Here is a 25923-nt window from a genome sequence, read left to right on the forward strand (position 1 = left end):
ACCATGCCCGGCTAATTTTTTTGTATTTTTTAGTAGAGACGGGGTTTCACCATGTTAGCCAGGATGGTTTCGATCTCCTGACCTTGTGATCCGCCTGCCTTGGCCTCCCAAAGTGCTGGGATTACAGGTGTGAGCCACCATGCCCAGCCTGTAATTTTTTTTTTTTAGTACAGACGGGGTTTCACCATGTTGGCCAGGCTGGTCTTGAACTCCTGACCTCAGGTGATCTGCCCGCCTCAGCCTCCCACACCACACTCGGCCGACTAATAGATTTTCTTACCTAAAAGTTAGTCTCTGGTTATGTTTCTCCTTGCCTCATTGGGTGATTGGCCCGGGGCATAGCTGTGTTTCCGTCCCGTCAGGTGTGGGCTGTAGGATATCATTTATGCATGTCCTGGAAGTTTCTGTGCAAGTGACGCAGCCCTTGATGCATTGAGCCCAAGCATCATCTGATCTTTGTTTACTGCACTGATTATGGTTTTATTTGATCTTTCCTTCAGCTTTCCTCATGCTACTTGAATTTCCACGTTGTTTTTGTCCCGGCATTTAAAAAAATTTATAGGGAATCTGAATTACAGAATCTACCTCTCAGCCCTGCACTTTCTCAGTCGTCAGTTTCTTAAAAGGTTTTTGTTCAGCCTTCACATTATTTTAGCATGACATACATAGTTTTTTTTTTTTTTTTTTAATTTGAGACAAGTCTCACTCTGTCACCCAGGCTGGAGTGCAGTGGCGCAATCCTGGCTCACTGCAAGCTCCGCCTCCCAGGTTCGCACCATTCTCCTGCCTCAGCCTCCCAAGTAGCTGGGACTGCAGGTGCCCGCCACCACACCCAGCTAATTTTTTGTATTTTTAGTAGAAACGGGGTTTCACTGTGTTAGCCAGGATGGTCTCAATCTCCTGACCTCGTGATTCACCCACCTTGGCCTCCCAAAGTGCTGGGATTACAGGCGTGAGCCACCGCGCCCAGCTGACATATTTCTTTAAGTCATTTTGAGAACTGTCTTTATTTAACTAGCTGCAGTTGTCCCAGAGCTTAATTCGAAGCAGCATATTGCAACTGTTTGGGTGCTATCTTGAGGCACAATAATTACCCTATAATAATAATGTGTGTTTTAGTAAACTGGTCATTATTGTCATAGAGGGCTGGAAAGAGTGTCTTCTTAAAGCTCATAAGGACCCTAGGGTACTCTGCAAATAGCAGAGTTCTAAACCTGAAGGAAAAAATTAAGGGGAAAAAAAATTGTGTTAGTGGTCAGAAGCCCCGTGTCCTTATGCATCACGGCACAGCCCACCCTGTAATGACAAGAAGGTGTTGTATTCCACTGACACTTGGGGGCTTTTCTGTGATCTCTGGGGTTGCTGCATGTACATCCTCAGAGGCTCTCTCAACACAGTTACCAAGGGTCAGGTGGGTTACTTAGACCATCTCTCTAGCTCATACTTTGTACTTCTGGGGGCTGAAGGTGACAGGACAGACCCCATCCCAAGACTGGGGGGCTGATTAGAGTTGCCAGGCATCCCGTATATGCAAAGCATGTCCTGAATTTTGCAACTTTTGTCCTGGATCCTTTATTAATTTGTCAGGATGCTCTAAATGTCCTGTATTCCGCTTTTTTTTTCTAATCAATTACAGAATTCAGCAATAAGAGCTTTATTCAAATTTAACTGGGCATCCTATATTTGCAAAATCTGGCAACCCTGCGGCTGAGGAATGTTGCTGCCCAGCCTGTGTTCTTGGTTAATGGACAAGGCAGCAATGCCTGCGTCCCTCCATTAATAGTCACTTAGAAACACTAATTCCTCCTTTCTGGTTATATTTTAATGTCCCCGGGGAAGAAGTCAAATAACTCCACCTGCAGTTTTCTTTAGTGACCAAAATTGCAAACTCTGTCACAGGCCCTTTGTCACAGCTGTTTTGGTCCCAGAGCTAGCCGATAGGTTTCTTGATGAAATAATGTCTGCGAATCCCTTTCTCAGAGCGGCACGCAGTGTGAGCGTGAGAGAATCTGCAGTGACAGCGGGTGATGGGCGGGAGGTGGTGGTGGCAGGTGGCGATGGAGACCTCCTTAAAACCCCAGGTGGTGAATTTCTTCTTCCCTCCTCCCTGGCTCACTGCCTTTTAGCGGCTGTGACATGGCCAGGGCGTGGGGAGCTTCTCCAGGCACGCTTGGCTGAAGAGATAATGCTGTCAGAGGACAGCAGTTACTAGTAAGTAACCTACATTTCCCTTCTACTCTGGCTGCTCCTTGCTGTCTAAATAGAGAAAGTGGAATTAGGTTTATCATCTGTGACCTAATACTAATTCCTCTTACATCCTGCCTTTGTGCAAAGGGAAAAGGGCCATTTAAAAAGTAGTGGACGAAGCTTTAGTATTGTAAGCACTTTCAAGCGTTATAAAACAAATCTGTTGAATGAACAAGCATGTGAGAGTTGGTATTCTAGAGTCACGTGTGATCGCCCAAATTGTATATTTCATTACAAAAAGTATATAAAGTCATGGTATTATAGAGTGTTAAAATTATACTTTATCAATGAATCAAGAAATTAAAATTTCTGAGAAAATTCTTGTCAAATCACTTTCATGTCTACTAAAGCTTTTAACTTCTTCTCTAGTAAAATAGTGGTCAAAATTAGCATGTGGAAAGTAGGCCAATGATACTGAAGTCGTAAGCCATGCTTCCAAGCCTGGAGATATTGCAGCAACCTCTTCCAAGCCTGACAGCTCCTTGCGAAGAGTGCTTTCAACTGGGTAGCTTGAAAAAGCCAGCTAAGCAAAGATCAGTGGAATCATAGAACATTAAGACATGGCAACTTGAGAAAACGATTTAATTTGCACCTTTTTTTTTCTTTTTTTTAATTAGATTTTGTTTTAAGTCATACTTTTCAAATGTTACTTTCAGAAGCTGTTATTTTGGTCTGTTTCTTTCATCCTGCATGTGCTAATTTCCTTGATTAATTTGGAGAACATCTGCATATAATTCCGTGATCTTTTCGTTGGCAAAACCTCACAGCTTTGCGCAAGACTTGGAGAGTTCACATTCCAGACAGTCTGGGATTGTATCTAATTGAAATGCCAAACCTACCGAAGTGCCAGAGCGTAAGTGTGTAATTATGTAATTTTCTCTTGATCTTTCAGAGTCTTCCTGCGAGCAATTAATCAGTATGCAGATATGCTGAACAAAAAATTTCTGGATCAAGCCAACTTTGAGCTACAGGTAAGAGAAGAGGTAGACACGACCTTTGTGGAGAAATCATGTTAAAACAAATTGCTGGTCCGAGCCAGTATCTTACAGTATTTCTAATCCTTGAACTTAATTGGTCTCCCATCCAAGATGCGGAAACGGAATTTGTAGTATGTACTATTGGAACCTGAGGAGTGAAAATTATACTTTTGGAGTATTCGCTTAATTTAGCAAGGAAAGAGATAGAGTTGTTTCAGAGAGAAGCTATTGAATCAGAGTGACAAGAAGGGACTCTTCAAGCAGGGAGGCCACCAAGTCCCGGTGTGTGTATCTGCCAAGATTGTCTCAGCCCATCTTACTGTGGAGGGAGGATCAGCAGAGGAGGAGACCCAGGTCTGCACCTCGAGCTCAGCTTGCTTTTATAACTCTGTGTTCCCTCCATATCCTCTCTCGGCCTTGTGCTACTAGCAGTGGCTTTTACCAGGCCAGAGACCCTGCCCCCCAGACCCCATGGTCCTCAGAAATGCTCCTTTGGTGAATGCAGTGTGTGAGAGAGAGAGAGAGTGTGTGTGTTTGTGTGTGTGTGTGTGTGTGTGTGCGCGCGCGCATGCATGCTGTAAGGATTGATTTTGCCTGGCCTGATTTGTGTGTGTGTGTGTGTGTGTGTGTGTGTGTGTGTGTGTGCATGCTGTAAGGATTGATTTTGCCTGGCCTGATTTCTTACTGTGCATCCAAAATGTGTGGCTCTCACTTCCATTGTACTCTGGATGTGTTTCTGCTAATAATGATTTTATCTGTCATTATTATTACTTAGTTTATTTTAGTAAAGTATACAAATTTTTGAAAAGCATGCAGATACAAATGGCATGTTTATTTCCTGGGCAAGATGATTCACTCTCTCAAAAGGAACCCGAAGGATTTTTGTTCACCCATTGGGTGATCCAACCCCAAAATAAGTTACCCAATAGCAAATAATAAGTTTACCCAATGCTCTTTCATTTGCATTGCCCTTATTTTTATAATTTTTTAATTTTAAGTGTTTGTTGTATTGGCATTACAGGATATAATTAGATAATAATATATCAGGTGCCATATATCTAAACATGTTACTTGTTTATAAAATTTTTTATCATTTTCTCTGCTGAATGCCTGTTTTCATATGTCATAATAACATACTTTCTCTTTATACAATATATATGTGCTGAATATCAGTTTAGCAGGTAAAATAGGAAACATTCCTTCCTAACCCTTTGCTGCCTCTCACTGCCCCTCTGCAGGGATAACTTTTAACTCATTGTTCTGAATTCTTTGTCACGCTTTCAGCATTTATATGGGCCTGTGTGTGTTTTTTTTCAGCCTTTAACATGAACTGGATCATACCCTGTGTTTTTCAGCTCTGTCATATTCCACGATATGAATGTACCAACATTTATTCAGCCATTTCTGCACTGATAACCTAGAGGCTGTTTCCAGGTGTTTACAATCACAGGCTGTGCTACCGTGAGGGCTGTGATACATGTGTCTCTTAGTACACGCATTGCTATGGAAAAGGTTGATCTCTAGGCCAAATGATATGACATTTTAAGTTTGATGGAAAATGATCAATTTCCTTCCTAACATGATTTTAGCAATTTGCCACCCCACCAACCTTGAGAGCAGCCACTTTCTATCTAGAATCTTCTTCAACACTGATTTAAAATGATTGATTTTTGTTTTTATTGTCATTTTTCTGATGATTATTTAGGCTAAGAATACTTAGTGGCCATGTGGGTTTCTGCTGTGAATTCTCTGATCATTTCTTCTCCTAACATTCGTATTTGGCTGTCTTTTTTATAAGTTGGAATTCTTGATATAGGCTAGGCATGGGTTTAGGCTTATCATATAGAAATATTTCATTTTTCTGTAGTGAAATCTGTTATTTCTTTTACAGCTATCTGGTTTCATGTTTTACTTGGCAAATCTCTCCTTGCCTTAATATTATATACTTCTAAATTTTACTGTTTTGTGTTAGTTAGGATCTGCTAATACCTGTGTGGTTTTGTGTTTTTGTTTTTATCTTTCAGGTGTTTAATCCATTTGGGATTTCTGTAGTTAGTATAGGGGTAAGGATCTAACTTCACTTTTTCCCACGTCATTTCATGAATAGATGACTCTTTCCCCAATGATTGGAAATGCTACAATTAACATAATTATAAATGTATGTGTGTATAAATTCCATTTTCTGTGTTATTATCCTAGAGGCTTAATCCTTATACCTTTGTACCCAGCTAGCAGAGTCGCTACTTTTCCACTCGTTTTCTACTGCAGAATTATCTTGGCTGTTTTTGTGCATTTCCTGTTCCATTTGGAGTTTAAAATCAGATAGCTGAGTTTCTCTTTTAAAAACATACTGCTTGGATTTTAGCTGGAATCCCATTGAATTGATAAATAAATTTGGAGTAAGTTTATGGTATTTGAGGGAATACTTTGCAGTATTTTTTTCCCCATCTCATACTAGACTATTTAAGTATTTGTTTTGCCATTTTTCTGGTTTTTTTCTAGGTCAGGTCTCACACATGACTTGCTGGGTAGATTCCCGTGTGTTTTAGTTGTGGCTGCTCTGGTGGGGGAGCCTGTTTCTCAACATGTTGGTTCTCCCTGGCTTTCGTCCTGTTTCATGAGGATGGCCCCTTGGACTCTCACCGTGAGCCCGCACACCTTACAAGCCACGTGCTTCAGGGCCCACATCGAGCGTCGCCCCTTGGCAGGTGTGACACACATATTTATTGTTGTTTGAGGAGGGTTTAGCAGGAATCGCTGCCTGCTGTCGGCTGCATTCTGAGAGTCACAGTCAGGGGCCCATCTAGCATACGACCCATGTCTGCATGTACCCAGCACAGATCTTAATTTAAACACCACCGTCACCACCATGAGTGCTCTGGCTCAAAGGCAGCCCTGGTCCTATGTAGGAAAAGAAAGAATTAGGAGTTGGTGAAGCTGTCATTTAAAAAGAAGCATTCGTGTTTTGTTGTTGTTGCTGCTGCTGTTGCTGTTGCTGTTGTTGTTGCTGCTGCTGCTGCTGCTGTTGTTGTTAAAGGGAGCAGGTAGAAATGAAGATCTATTGTGAGTCCTCGCAGGCATGGGTCCTATTCTGGCTGAGCCCCTGACCATGATTCTCAGAATACAGGTGGCTGCAGCCAGTGATTCCTGCCGGTGCTGTGGCAAGGCTGAAATCGGTGGGAGGTGTCAGTCCCAAAAACAAAAGGAACGACTTGTATTTTATTGACTGGCACTCCCCTTTCTTTATAAAGGGGGCTAAAAAAAAGAGAGCCCCATTGTGGGCTCTGAGGTTGGGGGTGCCTGGCTCAGACCCCCATTCTGCTTCATGTGTTACCTGTAGCTTTGGGCTGGTCTCTAAATCTCAGCTCTGCAATGGGGATAACAGCACCTACTTGGTTATTCTGTGGTGATCAAATGAGCTGGTGTATTACTATAGAAAGTGTGCTGTTCATGGGAAGTGTTGGATAAATGCAAGCCCAACAGACTTTTCTCAAATCCTACAAATGCTCTTAAATTTCCCCTTACTTCTCAGGTAATTAAAAATAGAGTCAATATAATGTTCACACTTTATTTTTATAGAACTCTTTGCAGCTATCTCCTTTGATATAATACATATTATCCCTGGTTTGTAAATGAGAAAACTGAGACCTACAACTTTCTTCTTCTAAAGGCCGTTGTCTTTTAAACCGCATATATGTAGTCCATAAACCCTTGAAATATGGGTTTATTGAAAGAAGAAATGTTTGATCTCTTTACATTTGTTTTCCTTGTCTAGTGTATGTGTGATTTGGGGGTAAAGAGTCCTAAATTATGGAAATCTATACTATTCTTAAGTGAGGAGCTTCATAATTACATTAATAAAAGTTAACATTGGCCAGGCATGGTGGCTCACACTTGTAATCCCAGCACTTTGGGAGGCTGAGGGAGGTGGATCACTTGAGGTCAGGAGTTCAAGACCAGCCTGGCCAACATGGTGAAACCCCATCTCTACTAAAAATACAAAAATTATCCAGGCATGGTGGTGCACACCTGTAGTCCCAGCTACTCAGGAGGCTGAGGCAGGAGAATTGCTTGAACCCAGAAGGCAGAGGTTGCAGTGAGCCAAGATCATGCCACTGCATTCCAGCCTGGGCAACAGAGGGAGACTCCATCTCAATAAAAAAGAGCTAACATTGATGAAGTGCTTACACATGCTCTGTACCGCCTTAAATTCTGTGCATATATTTACTTCTTTGATCTTCTGAGCACTCCTATAAGATAGATACTCTTGAAATTCACATTTTATCCATGAGGAAACTGAGGCAGAGAGAGGTTAGAGTCTGAGTAAATGGCAGACCCGGGATTTGAATATGTGCACCGTGACCTCTGAGCCCACACGCTAAGGCCTGAATTACACCGTGGGTGGCTGGTTAGCAACATGTATAGAGTGAGTGTGGGTTTTTTTTTTAACTTTTCAGAAGTGTGTGCTGAGCAAATGATAAATGTCTGAGAGCATTGTTGAGATCCTATATCAAGCTGTTCAACAACTTAGCATCTCCTCCTTTTTGGTTTTCAGCTGTGGAACAACTACTTTCACCTGGCTGTTGCTTTCCTTACTCAAGAGTCCCTGCAACTGGAGAATTTTTCAAGTGCCAAGAGAGCCAAAATCCTTAACAAGTAAGTTCTCATCTAGCTCTGAAACTGCAGGCAGGAGCCTCCAACTCTAATCGCATAATTTTCATGTCATTTCTAAGCCAACTTGATACAAATTGAGATGTAATCACGGTGTAATGAAAGGGTGGTTTTAAATCACCAATCAGGTATTGCCTTTTCTAACCCATGAATCAAGATCTAAAATTGCAGGACTCATCCTGGAAGGTTCCAGGTCAGTGTAATCCAAGACTATTAGTGCAACACAGAATTTCAGCTTCCGGAGATAATTCCTTTTGCTATGCACTATTCTGATGTCATTTCACATGTGGTTGACTTTATTGCTTAATTCTTCAATTCGAAAGGAGCTTCTGATGAAAGCTCTTGGCTCTATTGGGATTGTTGAACAGCTCACTGGGGAGTTAGAGCTATCGGGGTTCCTTCTTGGCAGCAGATAACCCCTGTCTTCTTCCGGGCAGGAGCTTTGAATGGACTGAAGCGGCACCTTCTATCATTGTAAATAAACCTCTCCAAAGCTCCATGAAAGCCGAGATCCTTGCCGGCCCCTCCAGCTCTGTAACCCCAGTTTGCATCATGCACCGCTCATGACTCAGTATCAAGAAGCACCATTGTTGCATGGGTTTCCTTCCCCTGTTTGGACACCCGGAGGGTCTTGCTTCGTCTCTTTCTGCCTCCGTTTCACTAATTTCTCACTGCTGTCGGTGTTCCTTTCATAAGTCCTTTTGAGAAGAGTTCTGAAATTGCATTGGTGTTGCCACGTCATCAGTCTCTGTTTGTCATTTTATAAATACCTCTGCAATATCTCGACTGTTCTAAGGCTTGGCCAACTCCATGCTGCTAGCTGAGGTTAGAGATTCCAGAAAGAGTTTCAGAAGGTGGCAGCTGCTCTTATATCCTGTGAGTCTGTATCTCACTTTCAAGGCAAATCCAAAGCACATCATCTCTGGAGAGTAAGAATTATAGTCATAAGCTGGGCTCTGGTGCTCAGCCAGTAGTGGTAATACCAGCTACTTAGGAGGCTGAGGCAGGAAGATCACTTGAGCCCAGGAGGTCAAGGCTGCAGTGCACCACGATCATACCTGTGAATTGCCATGCACTCCAGCCTGGGCAACATGGCAAGACCCCCTTTCAAAAAAAAAGAGAAGAAAGAAAGAATTATAGTCACGTACTGCATAACCACAGACTACATGCTGTATTTTTACTGTAACTTTTCTTTGTTTAGATACACAAATACTCACCATTGTGTTACATTTGCCTGTGGTATTTATTGTAGTCACATGGTACATTACAAACATGTTGTACGGGTTTGTAGACTAGTAACAGTAGGCTATACCGTATGGCCGATGTGTGTAGTAGGCTGTAGTATCTCAGTTTGTGTAAGTTCACTCAGCAGCGTTCACACGACGACAAAATCACCCAGTGACATATTTCTCAGAACATATCCCTGTCATTAAGCAAAGCATGAGTATATTTCAGCAAATCATTTACTCAGCCTGTACTTTATGTCAGTGACTTTCTAAGCATTTCATGTGCATTTTTCTTCTATAATCATTAAAAAGCAAAACCATTCCTTAGGCCCTCGTATCTGCCCTAGTTTCTAGATGAGGAAGGTCACACACAGTGACCGAGCCACTTGGCCAGTCCCACACCTAGAATGTGGCAAAGCAGCATTCTAATCTAGGCGATTCAGGGCCCACGATTTTCACCTGGGCTGCTTTTAGAACCTTCGAGCTTTTGGTCTGCACCTATCTAAGTAAAGATCACCTTTCACCTGGCCATCTTTCCTTCAGGCCTCCTCAGCTGGGTGATTCCTGCCTGACAGCCATCTGTGTAAACAGTGATCATTGTTCAGAAACAAGAAATGCACTTGCTGAGCCAAGCACTGAGAATGGTGTAGGCAGAGTGGGTGCTCGCCTGTGACTACCGAAGCGGCACGCAGCAGCTGCAGCCCACCACCTTGGGGCCTGCACAGGTGTCTGTCGCTCGTCCTGGCTTCCAGCATCAAGAGACAGACTTCTCCAGGCTGCATCTTCTGGAGACTGGCTCAGCAGGGGCGCAGGCTCCTGCTTTGTGGAATGCACGCTCCCTCAGGGCCCAGGGGAAGGGAGGGATGGTGCTTTGTAATTGTTGCTGTTCTTGTTGATTTGCCTTTGTGCTGGGAATTGTAGTGCAGACGGTAGTGACCAACACACACAAAGCACAGTGCGGCACAACGCACTTCAACGCACTGTAATCCACCAGGTGCGGACACACCTCCTTCAGCACGCGCCCCTTGTTGTCCCGTCCAGCAAAAGGACAGCTCGGCCACAGCAGGTGAAGCCACCTGCCCAAGTGTCCAGCGCCCGCTATTGGGTGAAGCTGGGACCCGAGCCCAGCCACAGCTCCTGGCCTCGGAGATGCCTGCGGGAGAAGAGAGGTGAATTTAAACTGGAAATCTGCCTCAAAAGAGCTGGCATCTTCTTAGTGGTGGGGCCGAGCACCCCGCAAGCCCCAGCAGGGCAGCTGTGTGCTGGGCCCTTCCTTCTGTTGGTGTGAGCGTTAAGAGCCTAAGGCAACATCAAGACATGCACTAACAGCGGTGCGGTGGCTCATACCTGTAATCCCAGCACTTTGGAAGGCCAAGATGGGAGGATCACTTGAGTCCAGGAGTTTGAGACCAGCCTGGACAACACAACAACACCCCTTTCTCCACAAAAAATACAAAAATTAGCCAGGTGTGGTGGCGCGCACCTGTGGTGCCAGCTACTCAGGAGGCTGAAGTGGGAGGATTTCTTGAGCCCAGGGGGTCGGGGCTGCAGTGAGCCATGATCACACGACTGCGCTCCAGCCTGGCTGACAGAGTGAGACCGTCTGTCTCAAAAACCAAAACGAAAAGAAAAAAAAACATTAACCTCGAAGGGCCTTGGCTACTAAAGAAAACGTTTGCTTCCCACGTAGTGGCGTGGATTCAGAATCTTCAAAGCCACGGAAAATTACACACAGCCAGCTGGTGTCGCCCCCTCAGGAGCCACCCAGGGCCTCTGCCTAGGGCTTTCGTATTCTCTTTGTCACAACGATAGCAACAGGAGACTCTGGATTTCCCCCAGGAAAGTCCCCAGGCAGTTCAGAAGTTGTCTTTGCAAGACACTGGCAGGACAGCCTCAGGGCTTTGTGCTGTCTGAGGGGCCTCTCCAGGGGCATGAGTTCTGCTCCGCTTGTGGAGGTGACAGGAGATCCAGGACAAAGCCCCCGGAGCCTGAGATAAGACTGCCTTGACCTTCAGGCCACGCGGCACACACGTGTGGAGGGTCAGCCCTATTTGTTGTAGTCTTCATGCCACTTGATAAGCCTTCAGCCCTTCATAGTCCATTTGCAAATTTTATTTCTAAATAGCAAAACCTGCATAAGAAATACATGACGATGTCCTACCCCAATGCTTAAATTTTCTCAGGCACATACAGTGCCTAGAAATGTGATTTGTTTAAAATTGTCCGCATAAAAGGGATTCAGTGCCCACTCTGTGCTCAGTCGGGCCATGGTCCCGGTGCCGGGGACAAAGACACAGACCTCGTGACGAAGAAGGTCATGGTCTAGTGGGGTAAATGGAGAAGCAAAAATCATGAGTGGAGTGGGGCACGCATGCAGTGGTGACGGAGGGCCTTGGCAGCCCGGAGACGGCCCGTGGGGCTCAGCCGTGGGAGACAGAGGCCTCCTGGCAGCTTGGGCTTCCCGGCTGGGTGGTGAAGGCAGCTGAGAGGTTTGCCACGGGACATCGAGTGCCAAAGGGCATGGCGCCATCTACATATGAGCAGAGACATGATCTGGGTTGTCGAAGTGTAAGGGAGCAGCTTGGAGCTTGGGGCGGGGTGTGGGGGCTCGTGGTCTGGGAGTCAACCTCACACTCTGGGCAAACGATGGGCGCTGACTTGGAGCCCCGTGGAGCTTGATGCATGCACCTGTCTGTTTCTCGGGGGAAAGGCATGTGGTATAAAGGTGGAGCCATGACACACCCACTTAGTAGGCTCAGCACTGCCTCCATCTGGGGCCTGTCTCTTACTCTAGGGCTTGTGAATCCAACCTAAGGCATCTGAGGGAGCATCCCCAACCCCTCAGCCTTCCCTTCCCTTCCCTTCCCTTCCCTTCCCTTCCCTTCCCTTCCCTTCCCATCCCTTCCCTTCCCCCTTGCTAAGCCCTTGCAGCTCCTCACATCTGCTTGGTCCACAGCTTTGTGGCTCAAAACAATAGAAATTCCAGCATCAGGAAACCTGCCTGCTCCATCCTCCTAATGACTGAGGTTGGGGAGATAATTAGGATTTTCATTCTAAAGACATTCCCCAAAGTGCATGGGAGTAAATAAAAGAATGGGCCATACCACGCAGAGAACTGATTATGTCAGACCCAAATTGAGTATGAGATTCGCCAGTGTACCACAAAATAAATAACCCCTAGGAATCAAGTCCATAATATGAAAATTTAACTGGCTCAACCTTCAGACATCCTTGGTGCTAGTGACTCCCAAGGAAGGACAGAGATGTCAACAGAATTCTAAGCCTGACCAGCAGCTCTTCCTCCCATCCCAGCCCCCTAGCCTTTTTTACATTATTGGGGTGCAGGAAATATGTCTAAAATGTAAAAGGAATGACTTTTGATTAGCAGCCAGCTTGATAATTTTGTTATGTAAGACACGTGCATCCTGGTGTGGGACAGTGTGTTGAATGACTGCAAAGGAGCTTCTGTGTTCAGGACCGGAAGAGGAACAGGGTTCATGAATTGGGCCTCCCACATATCTAAGCATAAAATGCTCACTTAAAATTTCAGCGCAAGAGGTTAAGTTTGATGGCAAAGTCCAGCTCAGTGCAGAGAGACCATCCACAAAGACCTCCCCACCTGGTCCCTAGGCTGTTTTCAGTTTTGGCGGGGTGGGTGGGTTGTTTTTGTTTTTGTTTTTTTGTAATTATAGAAGTCTGCAGTGTTCTAAGAGGATAGGTTTCACAATGGGACCAAAATATCCCCATCTGACCAAACACTGGGTTCTGCAGAATCTTCTCCAGAAGATTATGTCAAACTCTAGATACTACCTTTAAGGAAACTAACAGGAAATAAACATGCCATGCATGCCGTTTTGCAGCGTGACCTAATCAGAAGCTGCAATTGTATATTCCTGATTATAACAGGAGATACGATCAATTTAATTTGTGTCTGTGCTCATTTTTTTCAAGAGACTGAAATTATTCAAAATTAAATTCACTTATTAGAAGGAGACTCAGGGAGTTAGACTTAACAAGTGGTGACCTGTGCCAACTTCAAGTCAGAAAAGCTCACTGTGTCCCACATGCACCGGTGGTGTTGTTTTTGATGTCCCACCCCCTCTCACCTCTTTAGGAACCCACCAGTCTTTCCCATGAAGTTAAAAATGCCTCACCCCAGCCATGAGCTCCCTCCAGCTTCCTTTAGGTCCATCTCAGCCCTTTCCTTGTCTCCTTTCCCCACCTCCCACCCACTCCGATGCTGGCTCTGGGCACTGCATTGCCCCAGAACCTCAGCCAGGTCCTGGCTGCCCCCAAGCAGATGGAGGGTATTCAGCTCCCTAGATGTTCTCCCCACATCCTCAACATGTTTCTTCTTTCCCTCCATCTCAGAACATGCTTTTCTTCGCTCTCAGGACTCTCCTGAGCTTTTCTCCAAGCTTTTTGGTGTCTGCTCTCTCTTGTCAGATTCCTACCCCTGCACCCCAGCATCAAGTGGCGGTGGGGGTTCCGCACACCTTGGTCTTAGGCCTTCACACTCTATTCTCTTTCCTTAGGAAAGCATTTTTCAAACTGCAGGTCTCAACCTTTGATTGGGTCAGAATATTCACTTAAAGGGCCATCATATCCATTTCCTAGGCTGGTCTGCCATAACAGTGAACACAAACCGGGTGGCTTGAATTGATTGTCTCACAGTTATGGAGGGCAGAATTCCCAAATCAAGGTGTGGGCAGTGTTGGTTCCTTCTGGAGGTTCTGAGGGAGAAGCTATTCCCTGCCTCTCTCCTGGCTTCCGGTGGCTGCCCCGGTCTTTGGCATTCCGTGGCTTGTGGCTGTTTTACTCCAATCCCTGCCCCATCTTCCTGTGGCCTTCTTCTTTGTGTCTTCCTATGTGTCTGTGTCTCTCAATCTCCCTCTCCTTATAAGGACAGAGGTCACTGGATCTAGAGGCCACTCTACTCCAGTATGACTTCATCTTACCTTGAGTACATCTGCAAAGACTCTATTTCCAAATAAGGTCACAGTCATGGATACCAGGGTTTAGGACTTCAACATAGCTTTAAAGGGGAGACAATCCAACCCACACTAGTCATGACCAATAGACTTTTCTTTTCTTTTTTCAGTGAAATAGAATCTAGGAAAAAATATCAGCATTCATTGCAGGCAGTAAGGTTAAGCATCATTTCATAAAACTTTATACACATGCATGTATATTAATATATGTGCTGGTTAATACATGTATTTTTTATGTCAGAAAAGTTTATGAAACTTAAAAAAAAAGTGGCGGCAGCGGGGACGCTTTAAAAAAAACCTGCCTCCTGCAGCCTCTGCTCACGGTGCACCCCTCACCCCCTGGTCTCTCAAACAGGAGCCAGCTCTGTGTTCTGTAGCCCCACCCACCAGGCACTCCCCTACTCCCTCCCTGCCATGGGGCCTTGGCGCCTGCTGGTCCTCCTGCCCAGAATGCTCTTCCCTACCCTCTTCGTCCAGATTTCGTCTCTCCTTCAAATCTCAGAGCAAATATTATTGTCCTAGAGAACTCCTGCCAGAGCCAAGCTGAGCCCACTGTTACATTTTCTCACAGTTCCCATGTTTTCCCTATAAAGCCATGATCCTGGCTTTTGCAGAAACAATTCCTCTATGTATCTATCCGTGTTTATCTTGTGTGATTATTTTATTAATGTTCGTCTCTCCTACCATGCTCATAGCCCACTGTGGTTTGTGAGTCTTGTCTGTTCTCCATATCATAGTAATATTAATATTCCAATATGAATATTCATATTTCCACATTAGCTTTGTGTCTGGCCCAAGTGCTCAATAAATGTTCACTAAATGAATCGATCTAAATGACCATTGCAACCATGAGAGGAATATTGTGCCCAGCCTGAGATTTTAAAGGAAGGACCTAGAGTGGCTCCAGTGCTTGCCAGATAGACAGGGACATCATCACTCTCTTGTTGTTCACAAAAGCCTAGGATTGAGCACCATGCACCATTCTGGCAGCACTACAGATGAGGAGACTGAGGGTCAGAGTGGTCAAGTAAATTGCCCGGTGTGCTTAGATTCAGGCTCAGGCTGGCCTTACCCCCAAGCCTGAGCTATCACTCGGGGGTATGTTTCTTGGAGTGAAGGTGCAAGAAACCAGGTGCTAAGATTAGGCCACAGGGACCAAATTCACACGATTTTATGTCCGGGTTACAGCCTGGATGTGGGATCCCAGATCTCCCTGGACGATAGGAAGTGTGCCTCCTAAGCGTAGGTTCTCCTGCTCACTCACACCGTGGGTGGGCTCAGGTAAGAAGCTCTGGGCAGAGCACGGTGACCCCAGCTCTAGGCCATCCTGGCTCGGTGGAGTCGGGCATGTGTGTTCCCCACTGTGAATCTCAGCTCTTATTGAGAAAATGGGCACAGAAATGTCAGCTTGCTCAGCTCATAGTCTTATTCCAAAATCAAGTGAAAGGAAAGCACTTTGAAAGATGTGACGCTGTGTCGTGCTGTGGAGGCATGGAAAGTCCCTGTCCTGGGGGTGCGTGCTGTGGGTGTGGGAGTCTGAGGACTTGGATTCTCTACTCTCCTTCCCGGTGAGGATGGCCATGTCATTTTGCTTCTCTCCTGTATGACTAGTGCAGTCCCCTTGGCTGTTTATTGCTAGAGAGGAACTTAGTTATGGTCCCCAGGACTGCCACCAGCCCGGGGTTCTGCTTCCAGGCAATAAGCTTTATTAGCCCTACGCTCTCAATTATCCTTTTTTCCTCCTCCATGGGAAGAACTAAGAAATGGCTTGGGAAGCCCCCTTGAGGTCTGGTGACAGCTGTGACTTTATTTGGGGATTACTCTGGGGCATGTATAGATTCATCAAAGCTCCCTTCTTATTAAAACCAAGGAAAAGATCCCTCTCACTGCCAGGGACCTCCAGCCGGCCCTTCCCCTCACAGCTCCCCACTCTTCCTCACTGCTGCTGCTCCCTTGTCCTATTTGACAATTAAAACCGCATCTTTAGCACCTTGATGCCCGCAGGCCCGGCTCTCCTGAGGGGTGGGCTCTTGTATCCTTGCTAATCCCCCAGTTCTCAAATACTACCAGCAACTGTCATCTTCCACCTACAGGACAGTAAAGTCTATCTGAGAATGGAAATCCCTCACCCCTCAGCCTCCTTCACCACCCAAGGGAGAAGCACTGTGCAGGGAGGCGGGGAGGGGTGGGGAGCATCGGGGAGGGGTGGGGAGGAGCAGCATCCGGGAGAGGTGGGGAGCATCGGGGAGGGGTGGGGAGGGGTGGGGAGAAGTGGGGAGCATCGGGGAGGGGTGGGGAGGGGTGGGAAGCATCGGGGAGGGGTGAAGAGGAGCGGGGAGGGGTGGGGAGGGGCAAAGAGGATGGGGAGGAGCGGATGCACCTGGCCTCCCAAATCCAGATTGTGGTGCCAGCTCTGGAAACACAGCAAGTCACTCCTGAATTACCCAAACCGCAAGTGGAAAATCCACTGCAGCTGAGTATCATGTACTTTAGGATGTCTGAACTTTAGGATTTCCCTGGGATCATTATCATTCTAATCATTCTGGGACCTGAGAGAAGTAACTGAGTCGGGGGCCAGCAAGGCACAGACACTGATGAAGTTCAGCCTAGCAGTGGCCAGTTTTTTTTTCTTGATACAGAGTCTTTCTCTGTCGCCCAGGCTGGAGTGCAGTGGCGAGATCTCAGCTCGCTACAACCTCCGCCGCCCAGGTTCAAGCAATTCTTCTGCCTCAGACTCCCAAGTAGCTGGGATTACAGACATGTGCCACCACGCCCAGCTAATTTTTGTATTTTTAGTGGAGACGGGGTTTCACCATGTTGGCCAGGCTGGTCTTGACTTCCTGACCTCAGGTGATCCACCTGCCTCGGCCTCCCAAAGTGCTGGGATTACAGACGTGAGCCACCGCACCTGGCCTGGGCCTTCCTATTTTGAGGGAATCATCCCAGAATGAGAAGAACTCTGTGTAGCTGGGATGTGAGAAGCATGTGCAGAGCTTGAGTGGGTCAGTACATGCTAGGCCGATCCCACTGTGAGCATTTCACCTCTGCTGGGGGACATGGGCGCAGGGGGTGTTTGTGTTCAGGGGGGCCACCTCTTTCTGATGCCACTTTCCTGGGCTTGTCCAACCCCTGCTTGGCTGGAAGGGGACTCACCCACCTGCACATCGAGAACCTCACCAACCTCAGAGGAAAGATTAGAACAGGGCTTCACCACAGTTTTGCTTTCTGTGTGTCCCACCCCTGGGAAATGCTGCAAGGACGTCAGCCTGCCAGGTCACCCTGCAGCCAACTGCATCCTTTCCCAGCCCTGGCCGCAGCAGCTGCTGGGATCCCTTTGTCATTAGTGCAGGAGCAAAATGGGAATGGGGGAGCCAGCACTACAAGCCTCCAAGCAGTGTTCAGGTCGTGTGTTTCCTGGGCAATTGGGGGGCGTGAGTTATGCAGGGCGCTTTCCTCTCTCCCACCCACCCAAGTCCAGTAGCTTTGCTGCCTGCGTGCTTTCCCCAACCATGGACGGGCCTCTCCTACCATGGCCTCAATGCTGGGCCGTCTCCCCAGCTGAGATGCCCCCTCCTTAACCGAGTCTGCCTGCATCAGTGCTCACCTGGTTTAGGGCTGCGCTTAGAGCTAGCGTGTCCTGGTAGGGAGTGGCCTAGGCTCCAGTTCCTTTTCTTCACCAGCACTGTGGGCCAAGGCGCATGGCCTCCCACGCACCACAGCAGAGCTGCCAGGTGAGATTGATCTTCTGTGGTTGAGATGATCACTCTTGGCTGTAGCCCACTCATGCCGTGAGTGACAGACAGGTGCTTAGGGCACCAGAGTCTTCTCTAATAAGGTGGCAGCTGGCCGCGGTTGTTGATTTACCGGCCAGGATCTTCGCCTCAAGAACCACAGTGCGCTCTTCTGTAATCAGTGCTTTCCTTCTCACATCTCCTGACACGAGGATGAGCAGAGCAGGCTCGATGACACAGCTGCTCAACTGTAATCCTGTATGATAATTTTGCAAATTATTATTTTTAATATCAGCTTTTTCCTTAGGCAATAAAAGAAAAAGTTAAATTGCTCACAAACTAATAAAGGTTTATCTTCTGGAGCATCAAATTCTGTTTACTCATGAAACACACACCTCCTCTATGCACCCATCGAGAGGAAAATTAGCATTTATTTTCCCTGATAAACAAAAACAGTGGAAGATTTGTTGGCATCTTTTGGTGTTAAGCCCTTCCTTACATTTAAAATGACATAGAGGAATGCAAGAACTTTGGAAGAGGTCTGCCCTGACTCTGGATTTAATTTTAACTTTGGAAAGCAACCTGTTGTGTGCAGTAGGATGTTATGTGGTGTCTGCAGTGCCTAGACGCTAACGACATGCATGGAACCAAGCTCCCCCTTGGGCCCAGGAGCCAAGAGATTGAAGAAAGGGAAATGCTTTCATGACTCTCCACAAGTTCCTCCACGTTCCCACCGGGGGGAAGATGTTGTGTAACCCTCAGTGATGAGAAAGTGAGATTTCCCCCAGCTAGATTCCTCCTCCTTTGATTCATTTTGGTGGCAAGAGAAGTTGAAGCTTTGACACTCTCTTTATTTGCCTCAGTGCTAGAAGGCTTTAATTGCACTTAAAAATAATTCCAGTCCGATTTTCAAATGCCTTCCGGAGTGATTCAGCGTTTTTCTTTTCCCTGATTTCCAGGTACGGAGATATGAGGAGACAGATTGGCTTTGAAATCAGAGACATGTGGTACAACCTTGGTGAGTAGCCTGGATGTGGGGGCATAGTGAATATCTTGCATCCCTGGTGGGTCATGGCACTGGCCGTGTTCATCAGTGTTGGGATGTCTTAAGATCTTAATGGCTTCTGTTCCTTGGACAGCAGTTGCTACTCTTTGTAGTAACTGTTTTCAGGAATTAAGAGATAGAAGACCAAAGGCAAGGAAAGAAAATCTCACGGGTGGGGCAAAAAGAAAAATCCACAGAGCACCCTCTTGTGTTGTGTGGACACGTGGCTTGGAGCTCCTCCCTCCCTGGTGTTGCCTCCCTCCCTCAGTTGCCTCAGTTCCTTCTGCGTCAAATAGGAAGCTCATCCTGCTGTGACATTTGCCATCACTTACCATATTCAGTTTTACAGACTCTGCCTTCTAAAGGGTTAATTCCCCTCCTCAAAACCAGATCTACCTGGTGGCAGCCTAACATGCTCCTGCACTCAAAGCAGTGAAGGGTCTGTGTGTGTATATGAAATTAATAGGAGTTTATTTGTAAATTAAGTAATTTTTTCCAACTACTTTTATCATGAACAGTAAGAATAAATTCTCTATTAAAATTTTAACCAATGTGACATGTAATTCTTATAGATAAGCCCCTTCAAGAAATCAATGACTGACAATAACTTGGTATCTTCCCAGCATCTTTACACTACCCTCTAGGAATCTGGCCTCACTCCTCGTTGAGATGAAGCTCTCTCTGGCTCCTGCCGTCAGCCCTCGGGCTTGCTTTGTGCCGAGGTGTCCTAGGCCATGGGGTGCTGGTGGCCTTGCCTCAGTCCTGAGCAAAGCATCAGTTGCTTTTCTGCCCCAGGATCTCCAGGCCTCTGCTTCCTTCCTTCAAATGGACACGAGAAGCCTGCATTGGCCTGTTGCAAGAAACCCTCCACTCTCCCCTCTACCTCAGAGAATCTTTTCCTACTAGAAGGAGGCAGGGGTCTGTCCGCATCACTCTGTTAGCCTCGTAGCATTAGGGTTTCACTTGTTGCACCAGGGTTGGGACAACTTAGCTGCACCCCAGCCTGCTTACTTCCCAAGCAGCTGTGACTCCCTGCAGTGGCTGGAGAGCATGGCAAGAAAGAAGCAGAACCCAGCGAGCCACGCTTCACTTCTAGCTCACTGTTTGCTTTTGCATCTTCCTTGCCATTCTTTGGTTTGACATGAGGCCCAGTTAGGTTCTCAGGAATGGAAAGCCACAGCAGATGCTCCTGGGTGGGGATGAAGAGCGGGTCAGAGTGGCCCTGTCTGCCTGTGCCCTCCCAGTACAAAGAGAACCTGCACCATTGCATCCTTTCTGCGTGTCAGTCCTGGAGTCAGTGGAGGACTCCTCGAGGAAGCTCTGTGCTAGGTCTCTGCACATGATTTTGCTGCAGTAGCTCCTATGTCCAGAATCTGAGTACTGGGTCTCAGCTGTCAAAGGGCCTGCTGATCTCTGCAACATGATACCTACCAGGCACCATCCTGTCCTTGGCCTTCCTGCCATCCCAGGGAGGAAGGTAGGGGCTCTAGGCTCAGAGTCAAGAGAGATGATAAGTCCCACCTTGAAGTTTTCATCCTCTCCCACTCCTGCCTCCCCGTGAGGCCTGATTCACATGGCTCAGTCTTTCTGGGCCGTTAGATAAAGTGGTTGGACTGAATTTTTCAAGAGCCTTCCAATTCCAAAACTCAATAATTCTATGACATATATATACGATGATCTCAGTAATAACGTGCTAAGGCTTTTAGAACAGGGAGGAGGACCATCCGTGATTCATTCCAATTGATCTCTCTGTGTTCTTTGTTAAAATCCTGCTCTGACAGATGCATCTGTCATTTGCTCTGTTAGGCCAGACGGCAGGCCCCACACCAGGCAGGGACCCAGTGTGGTCCCATGAGAGAGAGAGAGAGGCAGGAGACGGGGGAGGGCTTTCACAGCAATGGCATGGAGGGGGGCTGTTCTCTGTTGGAACTCAGTGAGTCCAGGACTTTTATAGGCACCAACGTTCATGAAGGAGGTGATATGAGCTCCACCTGCCACAGTTGGGCTCTCAGGGCAGACCCCAGACCTCTTCTCTGGACACAGGCTCTCTCTGAGGCCATCTTTTACCCTGGCCCCTCCTAAAAGAGTGAGTCCATTTTCTTCTGTGTTGTTCCATTTCAACTCTAAAGTATAGACAGGGAATTGCCTATTTCCCCCAAGAGGACACTTGCACATATACTTTCAAATGAAGGTTCTCATTCTGGAATGGCTCGGTAACATTTCACATCATTTATGATAATTAGAGACACCACCCTAGCGGAGGGTCTGATGGGTCATTACATACTGAAATGCTTCCTTCTCCCCGTACACAACTGCAGCCACCATTTGACTCACCCTGGCCCCTGAGCACCCCCAGGATCCTCCACTGCTCTCCATGTGCCAAGGTCATTGCCTAGCACCAAGGGAGCCTCTAAAACTCAGCTCGAGCCACAGCTGGCCAGAGGTCACCCTGACTGATGGGTGCTCCTGCCTTTCTAGTTTTCTGATTTGGGATTGTTTTTGTTTTTGTTTGCAAGTATAGTTAATGTCACCTCTGTAGTCCCTGAGATTGATCACCACTGAAAGTGGCTCCATTTCAATTTGTGCTACGTGCCATGATAACAATGAAGGAAGGAAAGGCGGGCCCAGAAAGGGTGAGTTTCTCCGCGTGCCCTCTCCAAGTGCTTGGGCAGGCCTGGCCTTCTGAGGATACACTTGGGTCTGACACAGAGCACTTGGTTCTCTTGACGTTATCTGTCATGCTCCAGATAGGCCAAGTCAAGCGACAGGAGACTTTTGATTTGGAAAAGGTTGCAGTGAAGTGAGCAAGCTCCCCCCTTCCCTCCTATCAGTGGCTGATTTGAATATGGTGATTAATGCATGAGGTGTGTGTTTTGCAGCTTTTTAGCCAGGAACACTGACTGTGGCCTGAGAAGCGGCCAAGAGGTCAAAAGTAAACCAAAGCCAATTAGGGTCAGGGACTTGGAAACAACAAGAAGTAACAGTCAGCCACCAGACTTGGGTTCCTTGCTGGTAAAATAAGTTATCTTTCAAAGTGAGGGAGGTGATCTTAAAAGCACCTGCAGCCCACAGGATCCTCCCCAAGCAGCCCCTCAGGATGGCTAAGGATAGCACCACGGGGTGGCCTCCTTCCTGCCATGGTGCCAGGTGCCTGAGTGTCTTTGCCAAGGCTGTCACACTCCAAATTTATGACAGCACATCTCAGTTTCCCAGGATGTATACAACCTACTTTCTACATAGTTTTTTTTTTTTTATTTTAATTTTACTTTTTGTAAATGGGTGCAGGTTTGGGAACATATTGGCAGGATGATAGCACCGACTCTGCCAAGAAAATAGAAATGGAAATCAGATCTATTTATCTGCTTACAATTAATAAACTGTCACTTGAGCAGACCTTCAGCTGAATGCTCCATGAGTCTCCTCCTTCAGTCTTTCCAATAGTATGCATGGCCCATAGAGAGGAGCATCTCAGCTCTTGCCTCCTCCTTGCCCAGCCTCAGAGCAAGGATCTGGGGTCTGTTTTGCTCAATTTAATGCAAGGGCAAACATGGCACTGCCCCATGGGACAGAGTGATGTGTTTCTTTCCCTCCCAAACCTGTCATATTTTGAGTCTGAAAGGGGAAATCAAAAGCAGGCTCTCTCTCAAAAGAAAAAAGGGGGGAAAATGTGCTTATTTACCCAGCTCCTGAGTTATTTATCAAAGCGCACTCTGTGCAGCAGCCTGCCGGAGCACCTGATCTCCTTGCCTGTGCCGCCTCAATTTACATTTTGTTTATTACATCCAGCACACTGGAGCGAGCACTAGACCCCAGCCAGCCAGAACGAATGTGCTTGGAGCAAGATCTTTATCCACCGCGTTGGGTTTGGGATATTTTTCATGCAGGGATTCCCTTCATGGGTGTTTTTTGGCGACTGGGCAAATTGTGTGCTTTTCATTAAAACCCGTATACATTGTGGCCTAATGGGTGTGGCCAGGTGGTGGAAGCTTTTGCTCTGCCTGCTCTTGTGTATACAGAGATTTTTCTGGGATAAGTCTATGTTTAATGTCCCAGATTTTTGAACACCAGTGATTGCAAAGAGATAATTTAAACACCCACAGGGAGGCTTCTGACTAGGGAGGCCTTGGCTTCGTGAGAAAACAAGATGTTGTTCCCAGGGGAAAGAGCTCCACGTTCTGTAACTAAAATAGACTCTAGATGGGCTATGAGACCGGCAAGGACTGGAAGTAAAATATTCTCCTCGTCACCTTCCTTTGGCTCAAAAGTGTGTCCTCTTTTTCTTTAAGTCTACACTGCAGGAGTCACCTTGGTCCTCATTGGTTCCAAACCTGAGTTCATCATTAAATTTGAGCAAGATATGCTCCAGGGGAAATCTATAATGCAAATGTCAAAAAAAAAAAAGGTGGCTACCAGAGAACATTCCCCACCCACTCCTGCTCACCTTGGGGACCACTGGTTTACGAAGAGTCAGTGCCCAGGGCTGTCACTATCCATAGAACCCAGTACCAGCTCCAGGCCAGTGTGTCTTCTGTACTAATAAGGAGGGTGATAATAAAAGGTTAAGCTACTGTCGTTTTGGTAGCTTCTTTTTCCAATCCCTGCTTCTACAACCACTTGTGACTGCTTTCTATGTTTTTCCCAGCTTGGAACAATAAAACCTGTTGGTGACAGACAGAACTTTATGACGCTGAAATTGTGGTTGATGAACAACTCGCTGTCACCATCATCTGTTTTCTGAAACATTGGCTCTGACATTTTTTAGGCATAATACAAGGAAAGTGTCACCTGAGAGATGGAATATAATAGCATTTTCAAGAGAATGCTTTGCAGCAGTTACAGGACTTTCAGAAACATTAAGCATTTGGGAAAGTGGTGAGAATCACACAATGATAGCCTTAGTCAAAATATTAATTATTTAGTAAAAGTTGAAAATAAGATGTTAATTACATTTTGTGTGTATGTCCACCCAATAAAAAGTAATTCAGTCTAATTATGAGGATTACGTATTCTCTTAAGTATCGTTATAGTAGCCACATTTCTTTAATGATTCTCTTTACAGAAATGTATATTCACTGAGTTGCAAAGAAAACTAAAGAATTTGGTTTCCTGATTGTGTAGAAATATTAATAAGATTGGTTAATTCGGGATACATTGCTGGTGTTAAAATACTGCACATATTTTATTCAAACATTTAATTTCTCAGGCATTCTTCTGTTATATGTTGGAAATGAAATGGTTTTAGTTGCAGTGGGGTGAAATGAAAACAAAATCAAGATTTCTGAAAGACAAGAGGGTCAGCTTTTAAAAGATCACCTTTTTGATAGGACCTGCCTCTGAGTTTCATTATGTCACCTTAACTAAGGTTCGCAGCCCCATTTTTAGAAAGGAGTCTTCCAGGAGCTTCATTCCAGAGGTGCAGTGTCCAGGCAGTGAAAGAAGCTTGGCAGTTGCTGTGGTTTCCTCCCTCTCCCATCTCTCTGAACTTGCCTGGTTCACTTCAAGCTCTTTAGGAGCTCACCCTGATCCTCAGGAGTACCGCAGCCACGCACCCACAGGATATGGGGTCCCCGGCTGGGGTGAGCACAATGGCGGCCAACCCACAACTAGCAGGAGGGGGAGGGGCTGGCCACCACATCAGGCCCAGCTGCCAGCTGCTCTGCCCAGTCGCCAGATTTCCTGATGGTGATCCTGCGCTAGCATCTTTCTAAGTCAGCGACAGAGACCCAGGAAGGTATGATACCAAGATTTCCAACAAAAACCATTGAAATTAAAAACATAAATTGAGTGCTTGTGAGAAGCCAGTCTCTACCTTCTGGGGGCTTATTTAGCATTGTGATGTCTCAACAGTGAGGGATAAAACGATGGAAAATGACAGATCACTGACCTCTCTGTTCATTTTGCAATTAGGGGGGACAAATAAGGGAGTGGACAGCTCAAACGATTTCTCTTTCAGAGAGTCGGGTAGGGTCCGAGTGCCATGCAAAGATCCTGAGACAAGCAAACAGGGAAGGAATTTGTAAAATGAGGGTCACAGCTAAGCCTTCATAATCTCAGACCCAGGTTCAAATCCTGCTTCTCCACTTCTCTGAACAGCTCACAGAACAGCTTTGGGTACAGCCCACTTTCCTCGTCTGTTTAACAGGTTAAGAAGGTAACCATCTCGTAAGGTTACCGTGAAAATTCAGTGAGATGATGCTTTATCTTGAGCTTGTCATGTAAATTGTAAATGCTAACTAATATGATCATATTCAGTATTATTCACATTTGAAAAACTTTTGAGAAACATTTTTCTGAGTTCTTTAAAAATCATATCTGGAACAAGATAGGTGAAATGAGATTAATAAAGTAGTTCTTTTTTTTTTTTTTTTTTTTTTTTTGAGACAGAGTCTTGCTCTGTCGCCCAGGCTGGAGTGCACTGGCGTGATCTTGGCTCACTGCGACCTCTTCCTCCCAGGTTCACGCCATTCTCCTGCCTCAGCCTCCCAGGTAGCTGGGACTACAGGCGCCCGCTACCACGCCCAGCTGATTTTTTTGTATTTTTAGTAGAGACGGTGTCTCACCGTGTTAGCCAGGATGGTCTCGATCTCCTGACCTCGTGATCTGCCCGCCTTGGCCTCCCAAAGTGCTGGGATTACAGGCGTGAGCCACCACACCCGGCCTAAAGTAGTTATTTAAATAAGCATTTTCCTATCAAACAATAGCTCGAAAAGGTAGAATCACTGCTGTTTTTAGGGTTTCAGCCTCAGATTCCGGCGCCTTGATTTACTTTGATTGGAGTCGTTTGGCATGTTGCAGAAATCACCCTGCATTATTTACAGAGGTGTCAGATAGCAAACTCATCTTCATAAGATGTGGGAGATAAAGAGGACTCAAGAGACTATCTGCTCTCTCTCATTTGTCGGCTCCTGTTCCTGTCGCTGTGCACAGAGTTAGAGGCTGAGACCCCCGACTCGCAGCCCCTGCTCTATTCAGAATTGGGAATTAGCTGCATGTGTTCTGAATCTGTGTGATGGAACTGGCTACTTATAAAACAGT

General features: G+C 46.3%; 1 protein-coding gene across 17 annotated transcripts in view, besides 1 other annotated feature; it reads left to right on the top strand.

Annotated features, from left to right (window-relative positions):
- Positions 1-25923, top strand: part of DOCK1 (dedicator of cytokinesis 1) — a 547089-nt gene that overhangs the window by 430439 nt on the left and 90727 nt on the right. For 16 of the 17 annotated variants that reach the window (NM_001377544.1, NM_001290223.2, NM_001377546.1 and 13 more), the window contains 3 exons: positions 3140-3218; positions 7780-7880; positions 18803-18861. In NM_001377544.1, the coding sequence (NP_001364473.1) occupies positions 3140-3218; positions 7780-7880; positions 18803-18861 (239 nt within the window). Of the gene's footprint in view, positions 1-3139; positions 3219-7779; positions 7881-18802; positions 21522-23530; positions 23879-25923 lie in introns of those variants that run through there. The other variant, XR_007061946.1, reaches the window with a different exon arrangement.
- Positions 10834-10983: an enhancer, noted in NCBI's record as "active region_4196". NCBI's record gives its function as "activates an Ori minimal core promoter by ATAC-STARR-seq in GM12878 lymphoblastoid cells {active_cell/tissue: GM12878}" and the evidence as "EXISTENCE:reporter gene assay evidence [ECO:0000049][PMID:35858748]".

The sequence above is a fragment of the Homo sapiens genome, chromosome 10, assembly GCF_000001405.40.
Source record: "Homo sapiens chromosome 10, GRCh38.p14 Primary Assembly".
In the NCBI taxonomy this organism is placed as follows: Eukaryota; Metazoa; Chordata; class Mammalia; order Primates; family Hominidae; genus Homo; species Homo sapiens.